This window comes from Homo sapiens, chromosome 17, assembly GCF_000001405.40.
Source record: "Homo sapiens chromosome 17, GRCh38.p14 Primary Assembly".
In the NCBI taxonomy this organism is placed as follows: domain Eukaryota; kingdom Metazoa; phylum Chordata; class Mammalia; order Primates; family Hominidae; genus Homo; species Homo sapiens.
The window spans coordinates 798,209-813,585 of NC_000017.11; the positions used below are offsets into that span (position 1 = coordinate 798,209).

Sequence of the window (15,377 nt, forward strand, 5' to 3'; positions counted from 1 at the left end):
CTGCACTCTAGCCGGGGCGACAGAGCGAGACTCTGTCTCAAAAAAAAAAAAAAAAAAAAACCCTCATCGCTGTTGTGAGGATGAATGGATGGGATCTGGAAGTCACTGTGGTAAACACAAATCTGGGAACCACAGAGTGGCGTTTTCACAGCCGCCCCCAGCCTCCACCTGCAGGGCCTGGTTTTCCTGGCTGCCGGAGGAAGCCCTTGAATATGCCACAGCTGGTGCTGAACCTGCTTCCAATTAGCAACAAGAATCTGAAGGTGGAGCTGCTTGGCGGGGATTATCATGCCACCCACTTCGCCTGCATCTGTGGCCTTTACGACCTCTCACTATCGATCCCTGACACTCAGAAGTGATTCTTCCCTAACGGTTTCCCGCAAAGCAGTCACTGTATAAACCTGAACCTTTGGAGTAAACCTTCCCCACGGGTCTTAAGGAAGCTACAGACCCACTCTAAAAGGGGAATTCTGGTGTCAAGAATCCAGTTGCAATGACTTAGGGCAACCCCCTCGCTGGACTTTGTTCCTCCTGCCCCAAAGGTAAGCAGCTGCTAAGAGAACCCACCTTTCCTCCGAGGCCATCATGATACATGGAGAGAAATCCTGCCACCTCCCACATTCAGGTCGGCCACATTCATCCCACCCACCCCGACCCCTAAGGGAGACTCTGGCAGCGTTCCCAGAGAAGCCTTGAGCCTGGGACCTGCTGGGTTTAAGAGGCTCCCACACTTGGCCCATTCTTCACAAGGAGACCCGTGCGTGATTCCTCCTGTTCTCCCAACCAGCTTTCTCAGGCTTCAGAGGACTCGGCTCCCCTGGAGGGAGGAAATGGGCAAGAATGTCCACAGCAAGGTACGCGATCTGAGGATTCACCCTCCGTCCAGGGCCAAGTCAAACCAGGAGAGACGGTGGCCAGGGCTGCAGGAGGGATCTGCCTCTGCCACGGTCATCCAAATGAGCTTCCTGGCTGCCGGAAGCCAAGAGGATGTGACAGATGCTACATCCTGGGGGTCTCAAAACTCCTGGGACTCAGCTCCCAGCTACCAGGTATCCTCCACTGCCCACCCCGATAGAGCACAGGACCACAAGCAAAAACAACTTTTGTGATCAAGGACAGCAGAGGCCCAGGGTGGATGAGGTCCAGAGATGCCTGCTTTATTTCCTACGGGGTGATCGCATTTCAGGCTGGTAACATCACATAACAAGTCTAATCGCCAACTAGTTGTACGCCTCTGAACTACAAGTCAACAATCCAATTCAGCAAGGAACAACAGTGTCAACAGCTCATTAGCGGGTGGGGACCGGATTTTCCAAATCAATGGTCTTGGCTGGCAGAGTGCTGAGTGGGGCCTGAGTGAATGAGGCTAAAACGCTTGGCCGAAGCCGTCCATCCCCAATCCTGAGAACAGAGTTGTCTGTTTCTCTTTCGGGGGTCAGGTCAGCCCAAGTAAGAGGCCAACAACCTACCTGGGCCGATACAAGGCGACACAAGGCCCACCCGTGGCTGACGCGCCCTCCACCCTCACTCCATCCCGGGGCACAGCTCCTTCCGCTGGTGCTTAGGAAAAGGCGAGGCTTCTGGTAATTTCTCATCTTTGTAGTTCTGCTTTGAAAAGAAAAGGGGGCCGGGCACGGCGGCTCACGCCTGTAATCCCAGCACTTTGGGAGGCCGAGGCGGGTGGATCACCTGAGGTCAGGAGTTCGAGACCAGCCTGGCCAACATGGTGAAACCCCATCTCTACTAAAAATACAAAAATTAGCCAGGTACGGTGGCGGGTGCCTGTAATCCCAGCTACTCGGGAGGCTGAGGCAGGAGAATCACTTGAACCTTGGGGGCGGAGGTTGAAGTGAGCCAAGATGGTGCCACTGCACTCCAGCCTGGGCGACAGAGCAAGACTCCATCTCAAAAAAAAGAAAATAAAAGGGAATGGCAGGGGTGATCGAACGTGGGTGTGGGCACCTCAGCAGAGATCAGGGGCCTTGGGCACAGAGCTGGGTGGAGCGAGAGGTCCGTGCTGGTGCAGAGGTGCTCCTCCTAGGACTCAGGGCTAAGTTTCTTGGGAAGATGTCCAAAGAGAAGGATTCGTTAACAGAATTTCAGGATCGTGGGAGCTGTTTGTATGATATGAACCATTACCTTAGCTACATTTTTCTTCTCACCCAAAAAACCTCTACAAGCTTCCTTTTGCATTTGGAGATCCCCTGCCTGAGAACACAAGAGTGGGCTGCTTTTCTCTCAGACCGAGGAAGACTGTGTTGCTTAGAAAAGGACGTCCTCACCCGCAGCTCTAAGCGGAGGCCCTTTCTCAGCTCAGCCTCCACGCAGGTGTCACCCGGCGGTTCCCCTCTGGCCGTCCGGGGCCGTGTGTGCCGACGTCAGAGTCAGAGCCCGAGCGGGACCCACCGGCCCTCCACGCTCACTCTGCCCAGGACACCCTGGCAGATCCTTCACCAAAAGCTAGTGACTTTGCGAAAGCCATGCAGCCCCGCTCTGGCCGGGCCCCCGGCCATCCCGTGCTCCCAAACAGAGTCTCCAAACACGGTGGACTCTGCCGCTGCTGATTCCACACCCCAGGGTGCTGGCTGAGGAGTTTACTGCAGAAACAAGGCACCACAGAGAGGCTGGACACTTGGGTGGTGGGATTCGGGGCACGCTGGGTAAGTCCAAGGGCGGAAGGAAGGAGGGGGAGGAGGAGAAGGCTGAGTTTTAAATAACGTCTCAGGAGGCCGGAGCCACGCTAGATGGGCTCCGGTTTGAGCTTCTCTGCTAGGAAGTCATTCACAAAGGCCTCCACGATGGCGGGGGTGATCTCCTCCACGTCCATCACGTACTTGGCCCGGGCTGACATGTCCAGGATGGTGAGCAAAGGGGCAGCCTCAGGCAGGTTGGTGTAATCTCGCAGGGAGTCAGTCATGTCATCCTGAAGCCGTCAGGAGGGAGAGAAAACCAAGAAGTTTTAAAGAAAGGAGGGGGAGAGTCCCCTGGGCCCAGTCTCCCCAGGTGTGGTAGCTCCCGCACCCTGAAGAGCCGGCGTTTCCCAAGCAGAGGGCTCCCAGCCTGGGAAGGAGGGAACCCTGCCCTGCCTTCCGGAGGAAGGGGCTGCTTTGTAAAATTCTCTCTTTGCATCCGCCCTGCAAACCACTAGGTAAGTCGTCTGTATTTAATTATTTATGTATTTATTAGCATCAACACCATTTTAATACGTCCTCAGCATTTTAGAAATGTCACATTCTTTTTTTTTTTTTTTTTTTTGAGATGGAGTCTCGCTCTGTCACCCAGGCTGGAGTGCAGTGGCACGATCTCGGCTCACTGCAAGCTCCACCTCCCGGGTTTAAGCAATTCTCCTGCCTCAGCCTCCTGAGTAGCTGGGACTACAGGCGCCCACCACGCCCGGCTAATTTTTTACATTTTTAGTAGAGACGGGGTTTCACCATGTTGGTCAGGCTGGTCTCCAACTCCTGACCTCAGGTGATCCGCCTACCTTGGCCTCCCAAAGTGCTAGGATTACAGGCGTCAGCCACCGTGCCAGTCTAGAAATGTCATAGCCTCTGATTGTTTATTTTTGTAACCAACTGTCAATGATTTGCAGCCCCACTGTGGGTTATCTGAGGCCAATCTGGACTTCAACTCTGGAATGTTTTTAAACAGAGACAGCTCGCTGTGTTCCAACTCCCACCCCTGTGGTTTCAGGCAGGACAGGAGCTGCACAGCCAGCCAGTTCAGAAGACAGCGCTGCTTAAGCACTGTGGAAGCTTACGCTGCCTCACTACTTATCTGAGAAAGAAGCTGGCACTTTATCCTACATTCCCAGCAGCTGTCCTGGTGAATTTCCCTAATAGCAGACATAGCCTCATGCAGACACCAAGGCAAACACAGAAATCCAAAGACAAGGAGAAAGGATTTGTAAGGGAGCTACTTTTTTTTTTTGGAGATAGAGTCTCTTTCTGTTGCCCCAGCTGGAGTGAAGTGGCGCAGTCATAGCTCACTGCAGCCTCCACCTCCTGGGCTCAAGCAATCCTCCCACCTCAGCCTCCTGAGTAGCTGGGACTCTAGCCATGCAGCACCATGCCTGGCTAATTTTTGTACATTTTTTGGAGACACAAAAGTCCAGCCCAGCCAGACGGGAGCCAGCAAACTGCCTTGGAGCAGCCCCTCGTCCACTCTGAACCTTGCCTCCCTCCCCTGTGAAACAGGACAGCGACTACGTTCCCAGCCAGAGAGCCAGGAGCGAAGGAGACAGCCCAGGTGAAATATGCGGCTCTGTGCCTGGCGTACAGAAAACCTGCAAATGCTCCTTCCAGACTTGACACCTCTCAAGGCCGCCCCCGCCCGTGCCCGGCCCCTGCTGTGCTGCAGCCATCTTTTCTCAGAGCCATTCTGCAGGGGTTGGAGTCACTGCATGCCGCGCAGCCTCCCTGGGGCTGGGCTTGGTGTGCAGTGGCCAGTGCCACCCCGAGGCAGGGCCTGTGAACCTCTTTGCTCCCCTCCACCCCCGGGCTGAGCAGGTGACTGGAGCCGCCTGGGAAGGACCCAGGTGCTGGGCTGGGCAGGGCCGGGGGCTGAGGTGATGAATGGGTGGCACAGGGTGTCTGGCTGCCGCCTGCCTCCTCCGTGCCTCTCCTGGGATCCAAACACAGCGTGAAATCAGCACAGGGCTCTGACCAACTGGAGGTACAGATGGGTGGATGGAGGGCAGGGGGCGGCCTCCAAAACTGTCTGTCAGTCAGTGGGGTGGGGTGGGGTGGGGAGGTGGCAGCGCAGGCATGGAGGAGGCTCCTGGGTTGGAGGAGCTCAAGAATGAGAGCCTGCACCTGTGCTGAGTCGCGGAGACGCCCGTCTGCAGGGTGCAGGGTGCAGGGTTCCAGGCCCTGGATAACTGGGTACCTGCGGGAGGGCGCTCTGCTGAAAGCCCCACTTTCCCACCCTGTGAAGAGTCTCCTGCCTGGTCCAGCCCCGCTGGAGACCTCAAAGGGACAGCCTGGGTGAAACAGACGGGGAGCGGCAGCAATTTCCAACCTCAGCACTCACCGGGCCGGCTGGGTGACCGCAGGTATAAGCAGTAGCCCCAGCCAGGATCCCTCTGATGAGATCGGCCCACTGCAGCCAGCGCGGAGGCACGAACCCAGCATTTTGTAAAGACTCAAGGGCCTGGTTGTGACCCAGGAGGTGTGGATCACACTTTGCAGCCACGGCCACTCTCCCCAGCCGCTCAGGCGGGAAGCAGCCTGGGGACGGCTCCCTGCTGACCTGAGGCTGCCGAGCATGGACGGGAAGAGGAAGCAGCAGGGGAGGGAATGGTTTTCCATGGCGAATGGCTACCTTTCCTTGCCACATTTGTCTGTGGGCTCTCTCAGAAGCACAGGCAGCCCTGACCCTGGGGTCCTTTCAGGCAACCCTGGGGCCAGGATCAGTCCTGTGCCAGAAGTCCCAGCTGAGCCAGCCCTGGGCCAAGCCTCTCCTCCGCACTCACCTCCCCGGCTACGAAGAACAGAAGGGGTGCCTCCTCCTCTTTGGCTTTGTACTTGGCAATGATTTTCTCAGCTATCGGCTGAATCAGCTGCTTGGCCGCCTCGGACTCTCCGTCATCCTCAGAATCTGTGATTGGGTCGGGGGTAGAAAAAGACGGGGAGAAAAAGCACTGGCTTGTCAAACAGAGCGGCACCCGCCGAGGGGGCCTGAGCTGCAGAAACGCCCGCCTGAGCGGCCCCTGAACGGAAATGAACTTCCCCTTGGATGCAGGTCTTGCTCCCCGCATGCATGGGTGTGTGTGCACATGCGTCCCAGCAGCAAAGCTCACAGTGCTCTCCTGCACCGGGCTCCCCAGGAGGAACCTGCCTCACTGAGCAGCTCTGCTCTCCCAGGTAGACAGTCTTCCCATTGAATTCCTCACAAACCCGCCTGGGAGGCTGAGCTTCCCCTAAGCCAGGACCTGAGGCGCCTGCTAGTGTTTCTCTCAGCCACAGAATGAGAAGCCATGACCTCCGACCTCCGACTTCCCAGTGAAAATGGCAGAAGAACTGGTGGTGAGCGGGAGGGGGTGAGGACTGTGGTCTGGTCAGCGGCTTTTTTTTTTTTTTTTTTTTTTTTTTGAGACAGAGTCTCGCTCTGTTGCCCAGGCTGGAGTGCAGTGGTGCCATCTGGGCTCACTACAACTTCTGCCTCCCCGGTTCAAGCGATTCTCGTGCCTCAGCCTCCCGAGTAGCTGGGATTACAGGCGTGAGCCACCACACCCAGGCTCGTACAGTGATTTTGAGTTGTTGGAGGGGAGCCACAAGTCCAAGGCAGAGGGCCAGGTTTTGCAAAAGGAACCAGGGTCATCCCATCAGACTGCAGGGAGCCTGGCATGGATGCGCCTGTGTCCCCCTGGCCCGGCTGGGCAGTTACCCACGGAGCTCAGACTGGGTGAGATGGGAGACGGGGAGGTGCAAGCGAGGACAAAGGAGCCAAGGCAGCCACCGGGCTGGAGCAGCTCTTCAGAGCACAGAGGATCCGCAGAAGCAGCCTTGGTGAGCCTCGGCCAGAGGGGCCCAGCCCCTGCAGCTGCCGTGTGTGCCACCCGCCCTTTCCAACAATGGGTCTGCGCATGGGGGCCCCGAGGGCATCCTCCCGGCCTGACCTATTCTGCCCAGCTGGCAGCTGGGGAGCAGCTAGGAGGGAAAGTGCAGCTGCAGCTCCCACAGGGGCCAGCCATGAATAAATCATTGGGGTCAAAAGCAAGGCTTCAGGGAGAGACAAAGGCCCAGGCTTGCACTGCTGGTGACAGAGAGAAGCGGCAGGGACAGGCTCCTCCCAAGTGAGGCCCCTCCTGTCCCGCCCCCCAGCCACCCCTCGCCCCCTGCCCCCGTGAGCTTCATACCTACAAAAAGGACGAGGCAGGGGCCCTCGTTAAGCTGCGCGGCGTTGGAGTCGGAGAGCTCCAGCACGGGCTTGGGGTGCCAGGGGAACTCCCGGCAGTCCTCGTCGTTCAGCACCTCCACCCGCCCCTGCCGCGTGATCACCTCGCCCTGCGGGTCCAGCATGATGAGCGTGGGGATGCCTGCAGGGAAGAGGGGGTGCTTGGCCGCTGGCCCGGGAGATGCTGGCCCTGCCTGGCAGGAGGCTCGCGGGGTCCAGCCCGGGGTCCCCCCGACCGTGGTGGAGCCCACCGAGGACCTGGTACAGGCTCACAATGAAGAGGCCAGGTCTAAAGTCACAAAGCCTGGGGAGAATCCAGGCCTGGCCAGGGGGAGCCATGGAACCCCCTCGGGTCAGCCTGTAACCTGTCACCTTCGCCTTTCAGGGCCTCAGGATCCTCAGCTGCAGCCTGATGAGTGTGTTGTCGTTCCTACCTTATTCCGCTACAGAAAGATCAATGAGTTCATGCGGTTAAAGAACTTAGAGTTTGGGAGGCTGAGGTGGATGGATCACTTGAGGTCAGGAGTTGGAGACCAGCCTGGCCAACATGGTGAAACCCCCGTCTCTACTAAAAATACAAAAACTAGCTGGGCGTGGTGGCGGGCGCCTGTAGTCCCAGCTACTCGGGAGGCTGAGGCAGGAGAATCGCTCGAACTCGGGAGGTGGAGGTTGCAGTGAGCCAGGATTGCACCACTGCACTCCAGCCTGGACAACAGAGCAAGATTCTGTCTCTAAACAAATAAATAAATAAATAAGAACTTAGCACAGGGTCATGGCGCATCGGAGCAATCACTCACTGCTGGTCTCCCAAAGACACAGAAGACCTTCCCCAGCTGCTGGGGGTCAAACACGGAACAGGCAGTGCAGTGACCACACGGCGGACTTGCTGTGGCCACCGATGCAAGACGGGTCCTCGCCCGGCCACAGTGAGCGCAGGGCCAGTGCCGCCGGGGGGAACCTGAGGCTGGCCGCACCGGAGACTCGAAGAGGAGGACAGCTGACTGCAGCCCCCGCCGTCTGCACCCCAGCCCTCCCCGCTCCCCAGGGCTGCAGCCCCCGCCGTCTGCACCCCAGCACAACCCCCTCCCCAGGGCTGCAGCCCCCGCCGTCTGCACCCCAGCACAACCCCCTCCCCAGGGCTGCAGCCCCCGCCGTCTGCACCCCAGCTCCCCCCTTCCCCAGGGCTGCAGCCCCCGCCGTCTGCACCCCAGCTCCCCCCTTCCCCAGGGCTGGGGAAGAAAAGTAACAGAAAGCTTGCCTGCAAACCAGAAACCGCGCAACCCCAGCCAAAAAGCCTTCAATGAAAACTCAGAGAAAGCCCCACTCTGGTCAAGGTGCACGTGGGTTTTCTGTGTCTCTGTTCTTTTTACCCCACTCCCCGCAGCCTCTCCTCCAGCCAGGGCTACAGGCCCCCACCCACGGCCCACCCTTCGGGGACCTTTGTCTCTCCACTGGCAGCCGCTCCCCCCACACCCTGCACGTTCCAGACGCCTCTCCTCCTGGGCTGCCCAGAGCCTGAATTTTATGTGAAAGTCAGAGCAATTTAATATTTATAGATTCCCAAGGATTCGGTCAGTAATTTGCTCCGCTGACATTCTCCTTCCCTGTCGGGGGGATGCCGAGGTACCAGACATATGGCCCTCGTGTTTCGTACCCTGCTGCGGCCACCAGCACCGCGGGCGTGCCTGCCTTCGAAAGGAATCAACGAATCCATTATGTTCACACCTATGAGACAAAGTGGCTGATGTATCAGGGAGTGGGTCCAGAGAGAACAGGCTCTTGAGAACAGCCACTCCGACATCACACACACTCACATACACACACACACACACACACACACACGCACGCGCCCACACACACATGCGGCCGGCTCTCACTGGGGATTTTCGGGTGTGCTCAGCGTGGACAGTGCCCGAGGAGCTGTGTGTGCTGCCGCACAAGAAACCTGGGCATTTCCAGCCACATCCTCAGGCTGCATTTTATCCCCTGAGGCCGGGGTCCATGCCCGCTGTGTCCATCCATGAGGCTCGGGGGCTGGTCTCGAGGCTGCAGCCCAAAGGGAATCCGGGCCAGGGACCACCACAGGGACAGCTGGCCGCACAGGAGCCCCTCCACATCACCACACACCCTTCTCAAAATCCCCCCGGCAAGGTCCTTCCTCAGAGTAGGGTGTTTCTGAAATTGGGCAATTATGAGCACTGGGGTAAACCAGAGCCCCTGCTGCTGTGACAGGCCCCGCGGCCAGCCTGCGTGTGCCCCGGCGTGGGATGCCGAGTGGGTCTGTGGAAGAGAGGCAGGCACGGGGGACGGGGAGGGAGGAGAAGCCAACCTGAAGGCAAAGCTGCCCATTTCCCGGCTCAGCGCCTGGGGCTCTCCGAGGGCCTCCTCCAAGCGGCCTTTTTCCTGACTGTGGCTGCAGCCTCTTTTGAGTCCGTGCCTGCGGGGCCCAGGACAGCATGGCGAGGACACGGAGCCCCCACCTGGCTTCTGAGGAGCACTCAGGGGCTTCCCCGAGGAACGGCTCCTCCTAAGACGAGGTGTGCCGGGACGGGCCGTGTTGGGCCGCGTGACTGTCTGCATAAGCAGAAACCAACTTGGGCCCAAGGAAGCCACTCGTGTTCGGCCCCTGCACGGGGGAAAGCACCCATGTCTGCTGTGCCAGGCTGCCTCCCCTCAGCTGGTCCTGACGAGCTTGGCCTACAGCCATGACGAGTGCACATCCCTCCAAAGGTGAACCAGGGGCGGGAAACGGAACTGGCTTCTGCGGCCGTCTGCCCTGTGCTAGGCACGGCACAGATGGCACTGGCTAATCCTTATCACAGATGGGGCGGGCAGCATCAGGATCCCCCTAACAGATGGTCAAGGTGACCCCCAGGTCACCCAGCCAGGCAGTGGTTACAGTAGGGATGGGGGTCACCCAGCCAGGCAGTGGTTACACTGGGGACAGGACCCTGATCCACCTGTTGCAGAAGCTGCTGCTCTTCCTGCCAGGCCGTGGACGCTTCTGGGGTCCTCACAGCACCTGCGATGGGGACTGTCTTAACCAGGGCGGGGAAGTCCTGTACCTGCAGCTTTCTGCACCACCCACCTCCCTCTGCTCCTGGGGGAGAAGGCTGAGACCACAGCCACCATTTCCCTTTCTCCCCCTTCACACACGCCCTGTTCCCCCAGCCCTTGAAGCAGGTTCTCTGAAATACACATTTTTTTTTTTTTTTTAGACGCAGTCTCCCTCTGCTGCCCAGGCTGGAGTGCAGTGGCGCGATCTCGGCTCACTGCAAGCTCCACCTCCCGGGTTCAAGCGATTCTCCTGCCTCAGCCTCCCAAGTAGCTGGGGTTACAGGTACACACCACCACACCCAGATAATTTTTAGTAGAAACGGGGTTTCCCCATGTTGGCCAGGATGGTCTCGAACTCCCGACCTCAGGTGATCCGCCCACCTCGGCCTCCCAAAGTGCTGAGATAACAGGTGTGAACCACCATGCCCGGCCAGTGTAAAACACTTATTAGCAGAGTACCTGGTATATTGATATTGTAAGTATTCTATAAGTATTGGCTATTATTATAAACCAGTTTTTTTTTTTTTTTTGAGACAGAGTCTCACTCTGTTGCCCAGGCTGGAATGCAATGGTGCGATCTCAGCTCCCTGCAGCCTCCGCCTCCTGGGTTCAAGTGATTATCTTGCTTCAGCTTCCCCAGTAGCTGGGATTACAGGCACCCGCCACCACACCTGGCTCATTTTTTTAATTTTTTAGTAGAGACGGGGTTTCACCATGTTGGCCAAGCTGGTCTCAAACTCCTGACCTCAAGTGATCTGCCCGCCTCGGCCTCCCAAACTGCTGGGATTACAGGTGTGAGGCACCGCACCCAGCCATTATATTCTTTTAATCACCCCTAAACTGATTATTTGGCTCGTGAGAAGGCAGACATACGGAAAACTGGGAGCTTGCTCTAGTGAGATCAACAGAGTCCTCCGTGATGGGCTGGAAGAAGTTAGCTAAAGAAGCAGAAAGCAGAGACACTGTCAAGACCGTGGTGAGGGTTCCGGCAACAGTGTGATGTCTGCCAAGGGTGGGGTTGGCGTGCTTTTGCTTCCACCATCCCAAGCTACACTCCTGGGCTTGGAACACGGACTCTAAGTTCCTAGAGAGGGCGCAGCCCTGAGTCCCCTGCTCTGTGACATGAGTGGCGCCTACAGACCCCTTTCACCGTCTCCCTCAAAACACACAGAAGAGTCAACTCCAAACTCTCTTCTCCAAGGAGGAGCCTAGTTGCAAGTATTTAAAACCATCTCAAAGCCAGGTGCGCCGAGACTGTCCCACGGTTTAGTCTGGTGACTTTTCCACTGCCAACGAGACACGGAGTTTTGAAGCAGGTGGGGGCTGGGGCAAGGAAGCTGAAGGGGTCCAGGACCCTGGGAGGCAGAGAGGAGCGGGCAGGGCTGTGACCCAGCCTTCTCTGCATCTGGATGGCAACGTGATCTGAGGCAGCCAGGAGGAATTACCCAAAGATTGCTGGGAGCTGGGAGGAGCAATGGAAGGAAAAGCAGGTTCTAGGACAGAAAGAGCTGGTGAGGACGCACCAGCAGGCAAAATATTAAGTGATCATGAAAATGGTCCTTACAAAGACCATAGCGACACGGCAAATTTTTGCGCCACACTGTTTAGTAAAAACTGCCGAGCGCACAGTGCCGTGTGCATGTGACGAGTCCGTGTGAGCGGCGGGCACCTTACGAGCCAGTGCGAGCGGCGGGCACCTTACGAGTCAGTGTGAGTGGCGTGTACGTTAAGAGTCCCTGTGAGTGCCGTGCACGTTAAGAGTCCGTGTGAGTGGCGTGTACGTTACGAGTCTGTGTGAGTGGCGTGTACGTTACGAGTCTGTGAGTGGCGTGTACGTTACGAGTCTGTGAGTGGCGTGCACGTTAAGAGTCCGTGTGAGTGGCGTGCACGTTACGAGTCCCTGTGAGTGGCGTGCACGTTACGAGTCCGTGTGAGTGGCGTGCACGTTACGAGTCCGTGTGAGTGGCGTGCACGTTACGAGTCTGTGACTGGCGTGCACGTTACGAGTCTGTGACTGGCGTGCATGTTACGAGTCTGTGAGTGGCGTGCACGTTACGAGTCCGTGTGAGTGGCGTGCACGTTACGAGTCTGTGAGTGGCGTGCACGTTACGAGTCTGTGAGTGGCGTGCACGTTACGAGTCTGTGAGTGGTGTGCACGTTACGAGTGCATGTGAGTGGCGTGTACGTTAAGAGTCCGTGTGAGTTGCTGCTGAGGCAGGAATGTGGGTGGGATGACAGCGAGATATCTATGTCTAGTTACGTTTTCTTTAACGGCAGCCTATTTAGCTCGTTAACATCAGATGAAAATCAGAACTGAAAGGCCGTGGGGGTGAGATGGGATGACAAACACCAACCAATGCCCAGAATCTGTTCCTCGGATCCTTCCGTTCCTCCCTCCTCCCGGCTCCCCCAAAACACTCCCCTGCTTAGAGAGTTAAGGAAAGGAGCCGGGCACGGTGGCTCACACCTGTAATCCTGGCACTTTGGAAGCCTGAGGCAGGTGGATCCCCTGAGGTCAGGAGGTGGAGACCAGCCTGACCAACATGGTGAAACCCCGTCTCTACTAAAAATACAAAATTAGCTGGGCGTGGTAGCGCACCCCTGTACTCCCAGCTACTCAGGAGGCTGAAGCAGGAGAATCGCTTGAACGCGGGAGGCAGAGCTTGCAGTGAGCGGAGATCTTGCCACTGCACTCCAGCCTGGGCGACAGAGCGAGACTCTGCCTCAAAAAAAAAAAATTAGACAAAACACATAAAAGAGAACTGCAAAACCGCTCTAAAGGTCTCGAGGCAGCCCCTCTTCTGGTTGAAACATGCAATCTCCAAATGTTTCATTTTTATATAAACAGATTCTGCCTCAAATCCATTTTTTTGAAAGGGGCAAAGGAAGAGAGTCAAGGAAGGGAACGGGATGAGGAAGGAGGGAAGCAGAAGAGGAAGAAAGAAGGAGGCGGAGAAGGCAGAGCGGGAGGAGGTGGCACAGGAGGGAAGAAGGAAAACAGAGAAGAGGATTCAACGCTGGAGGAGCAAAGGGCCCTCACCCCGGCCGCCCGGCACCTCTAGCTGCTTCCGCATCTGCTCCAGGCCCTGCACAGCCCTCAGGCCGTCCGCCCTCCCTGAAGGTTGGGCCACGGGAGCCAAACCAGACAGGGCCCCTGGCCTAAGAGAGAAGGGGCTGTAAACCTCCCTGCAAAGAGTGCCGTGCTCCCTGGCAGCCGAGGATGACTCAGACAACTGCTAACGGGGTCTGTCTTCTGCCAGGTGTGTTGACAACGGTCTCCTTAGAAAAAGAATTTTCAGCACTGCACACGGCTGCACATTCCCCAGGCTGCGTAAAGCCCCGGGGTTGGGGGGGGGGCAGCACTCTGGAAGCCAGTTATTCCCACGAGACCAGGAGGTGGGGGGACGCCAAATGCCAGGTCCTTGGTGAGCCCAGTGGTCCTGTGGAGATGGGTCACACAGCCCGGCTCAGCCCAGGGCACCGAAGGAAGCCGGTGGCCAGCCTGTCAGCGGCAGTGGGACTTTGGCCAGGCCGGCCTGGGGCCCAAACTCATCATCAAGACCACGGCAGAGGCCGCCACCCTGTGAGATGGACAGCTCAAGGGCACAGCCTCGAGGCCCCGACTCCCCCACCCGTACCGCCCCCCAGACACCTCAACGCACTGGCAGCATTTGGCAGGCCCCCTTCACTCGGCAGGGTGATTCTCAAAACCCCAAGATGCTTATAGGACTCCGGGTTGTGCGGTTACCCAGTTCTGCTTTTTTTTTTTTTTTTTTTTTTTTTGAGACGGAGTCTCGCTCTGTCGCCCAGGCTGGAGTGCAGTGGCAAGATCTCGGCTCACTGCAAGCTCCGTCTCCCGGGTTCACGCCATTCTCCTGCCTCAGCCTCCCGAGTAGCTGGGACTACAGGCGCCCGTCACCACGCCTGGCTAATTTTTTGTATTTTTAATAGAGACGGGGTTTCACCGTGTTAGCCAGGACGGTCTCGATCTCCTGACCTCGTGATCCGCCCGCCTCGGCCTCCCAAAGTGCTGGGATTACAGGCGTGAGCCACTGCGCGTGGCCTGGGTTACCCATTTTCACCCGAGCCTGTCAGAACACTCTGCCCTCACATGACTCAATCCACAAAATGACCAGCAGATCAAGCCACTGCCCCAGTGTAAGTCCAAAGACAGGCCAGGTGGAGGCGGCTCCCTTTGGGTGCAGGCAGGGGGTGTACCTGGCACTGCTCTGTGAAGGAATCTTTATACAAGCTCTTCAGCGGGAGAGAAACAAGTGAGATGGGACTGAGACCCCAGGGCACAGACAGACTCAAACAGGGAGCAGGACGTCCCCAGAGAAGCCCCACAGGATGTGCAGACCAGACACTCCAACAGCCAGGACCCTGCAGAGCGAGTGTGTGTGTGAGTCTGTGTGTGCACGTGTGTGTGATGGCGCGAGTGTGCATTGTGTGAGTGTAGGTGAGTGTAGGTGTGTGTGAGTGTGCATGTGTGTGACTGTAGGTGTGTGTGAGTGTAGGTGTGTGCACATATGAATGTAGGTGTTTGCATGTGAGTGTAGGGTGTGTGAGTGTAGGGTGCGTGAGTGAGAGTGTGCATATGTGTGAGTGTAGGTGTGTGCATGTGTGTAGGTGTGTGTGCGTGAGTGTAGGTGTGTGTGCGAGTGTGCATGTGTGAGTGTAGGTGTGTGCATGTGTGTAGGTGTGTGTGGGTGTGTGCGCACATGTGAATGTAGGTGTGTGCATGTGTGACTGTAGGTGTGTGCGTGTGTGAGTGTGCATATGTGTGAGTGTAGGTGTGCATGTTTGTAGGTGTGTGTGCACATGTGAATGTAGGTGTTTGCATGTGTGTAGGTTGTGTGCACGCGTGTGTGAATGTGTGAGCGTGTGTGTGCGTGTGTTCACACACCTGGAACACGTCCACTGAATGACACTGGAAGCCGTAACCACGGAATCACACAAAAGCTCAGAAATATTCAGAATTCAATCAAAAATACTGGTCAGAGTTTTGTGACGCTACAAAGCTTATGAACGAATGCACAGTTCCTTCAGAGGTATTTCGGCCCAGCCTGGCCACATTTAAATATCCTCAGAGGCAAAGAAAGGCAAACTCCCATCAAGGGATGGTGCAGTCTAGGGAGGGTGGCTGGCTTCTAAGACTAGAGAGAAGCCAGAACTGATACCAGTGAAACCAGGGACTGAGTGAGACGGGCTCTGAAGGAGAAACGGCCCCCGGCTTGGAGGACAAGGACAGGGCACCACAAATAGGGCCATCGACGCGGACGGAATGCCGCACGTGGGGCTCAGCCCAACCTCGAAGCGCTGAGAAGGCGCTTCCAAAGTGATATCCCTGGAATGATATAATGATTTCCTTAATACGTGAGCATCTTTCAAAACTAGGAGGATCTGGAATTAAGTTTAGAAGT

General features: G+C 57.0%; 1 protein-coding gene across 6 annotated transcripts in view; it reads right to left on the reverse strand.

The window, feature by feature from the left end:
• Positions 1-1,101: 1,101 nt before the first annotated feature.
• NXN (nucleoredoxin) overlaps positions 1,102-15,377 on the reverse strand; it is a 180,467-nt gene continuing 166,191 nt past the window's right edge. For 2 of the 6 annotated variants that reach the window (NM_022463.5, XM_005256758.4), the window contains exons 6-8: positions 6,860-7,039; positions 5,474-5,598; positions 1,102-2,923 (exon numbers count right to left, since the gene is read on the reverse strand). In NM_022463.5, the coding sequence (NP_071908.2) occupies positions 2,741-2,923; positions 5,474-5,598; positions 6,860-7,039 (488 nt within the window). In that variant the 3' untranslated portion in view covers positions 1,102-2,740. Of the gene's footprint in view, positions 2,924-5,473; positions 5,599-6,859; positions 7,040-8,327; positions 9,920-15,377 lie in introns of those variants that run through there. The other 4 variants (XM_005256756.5, XM_047436532.1, NM_001205319.1 and 1 more) reach the window with 3 other exon arrangements.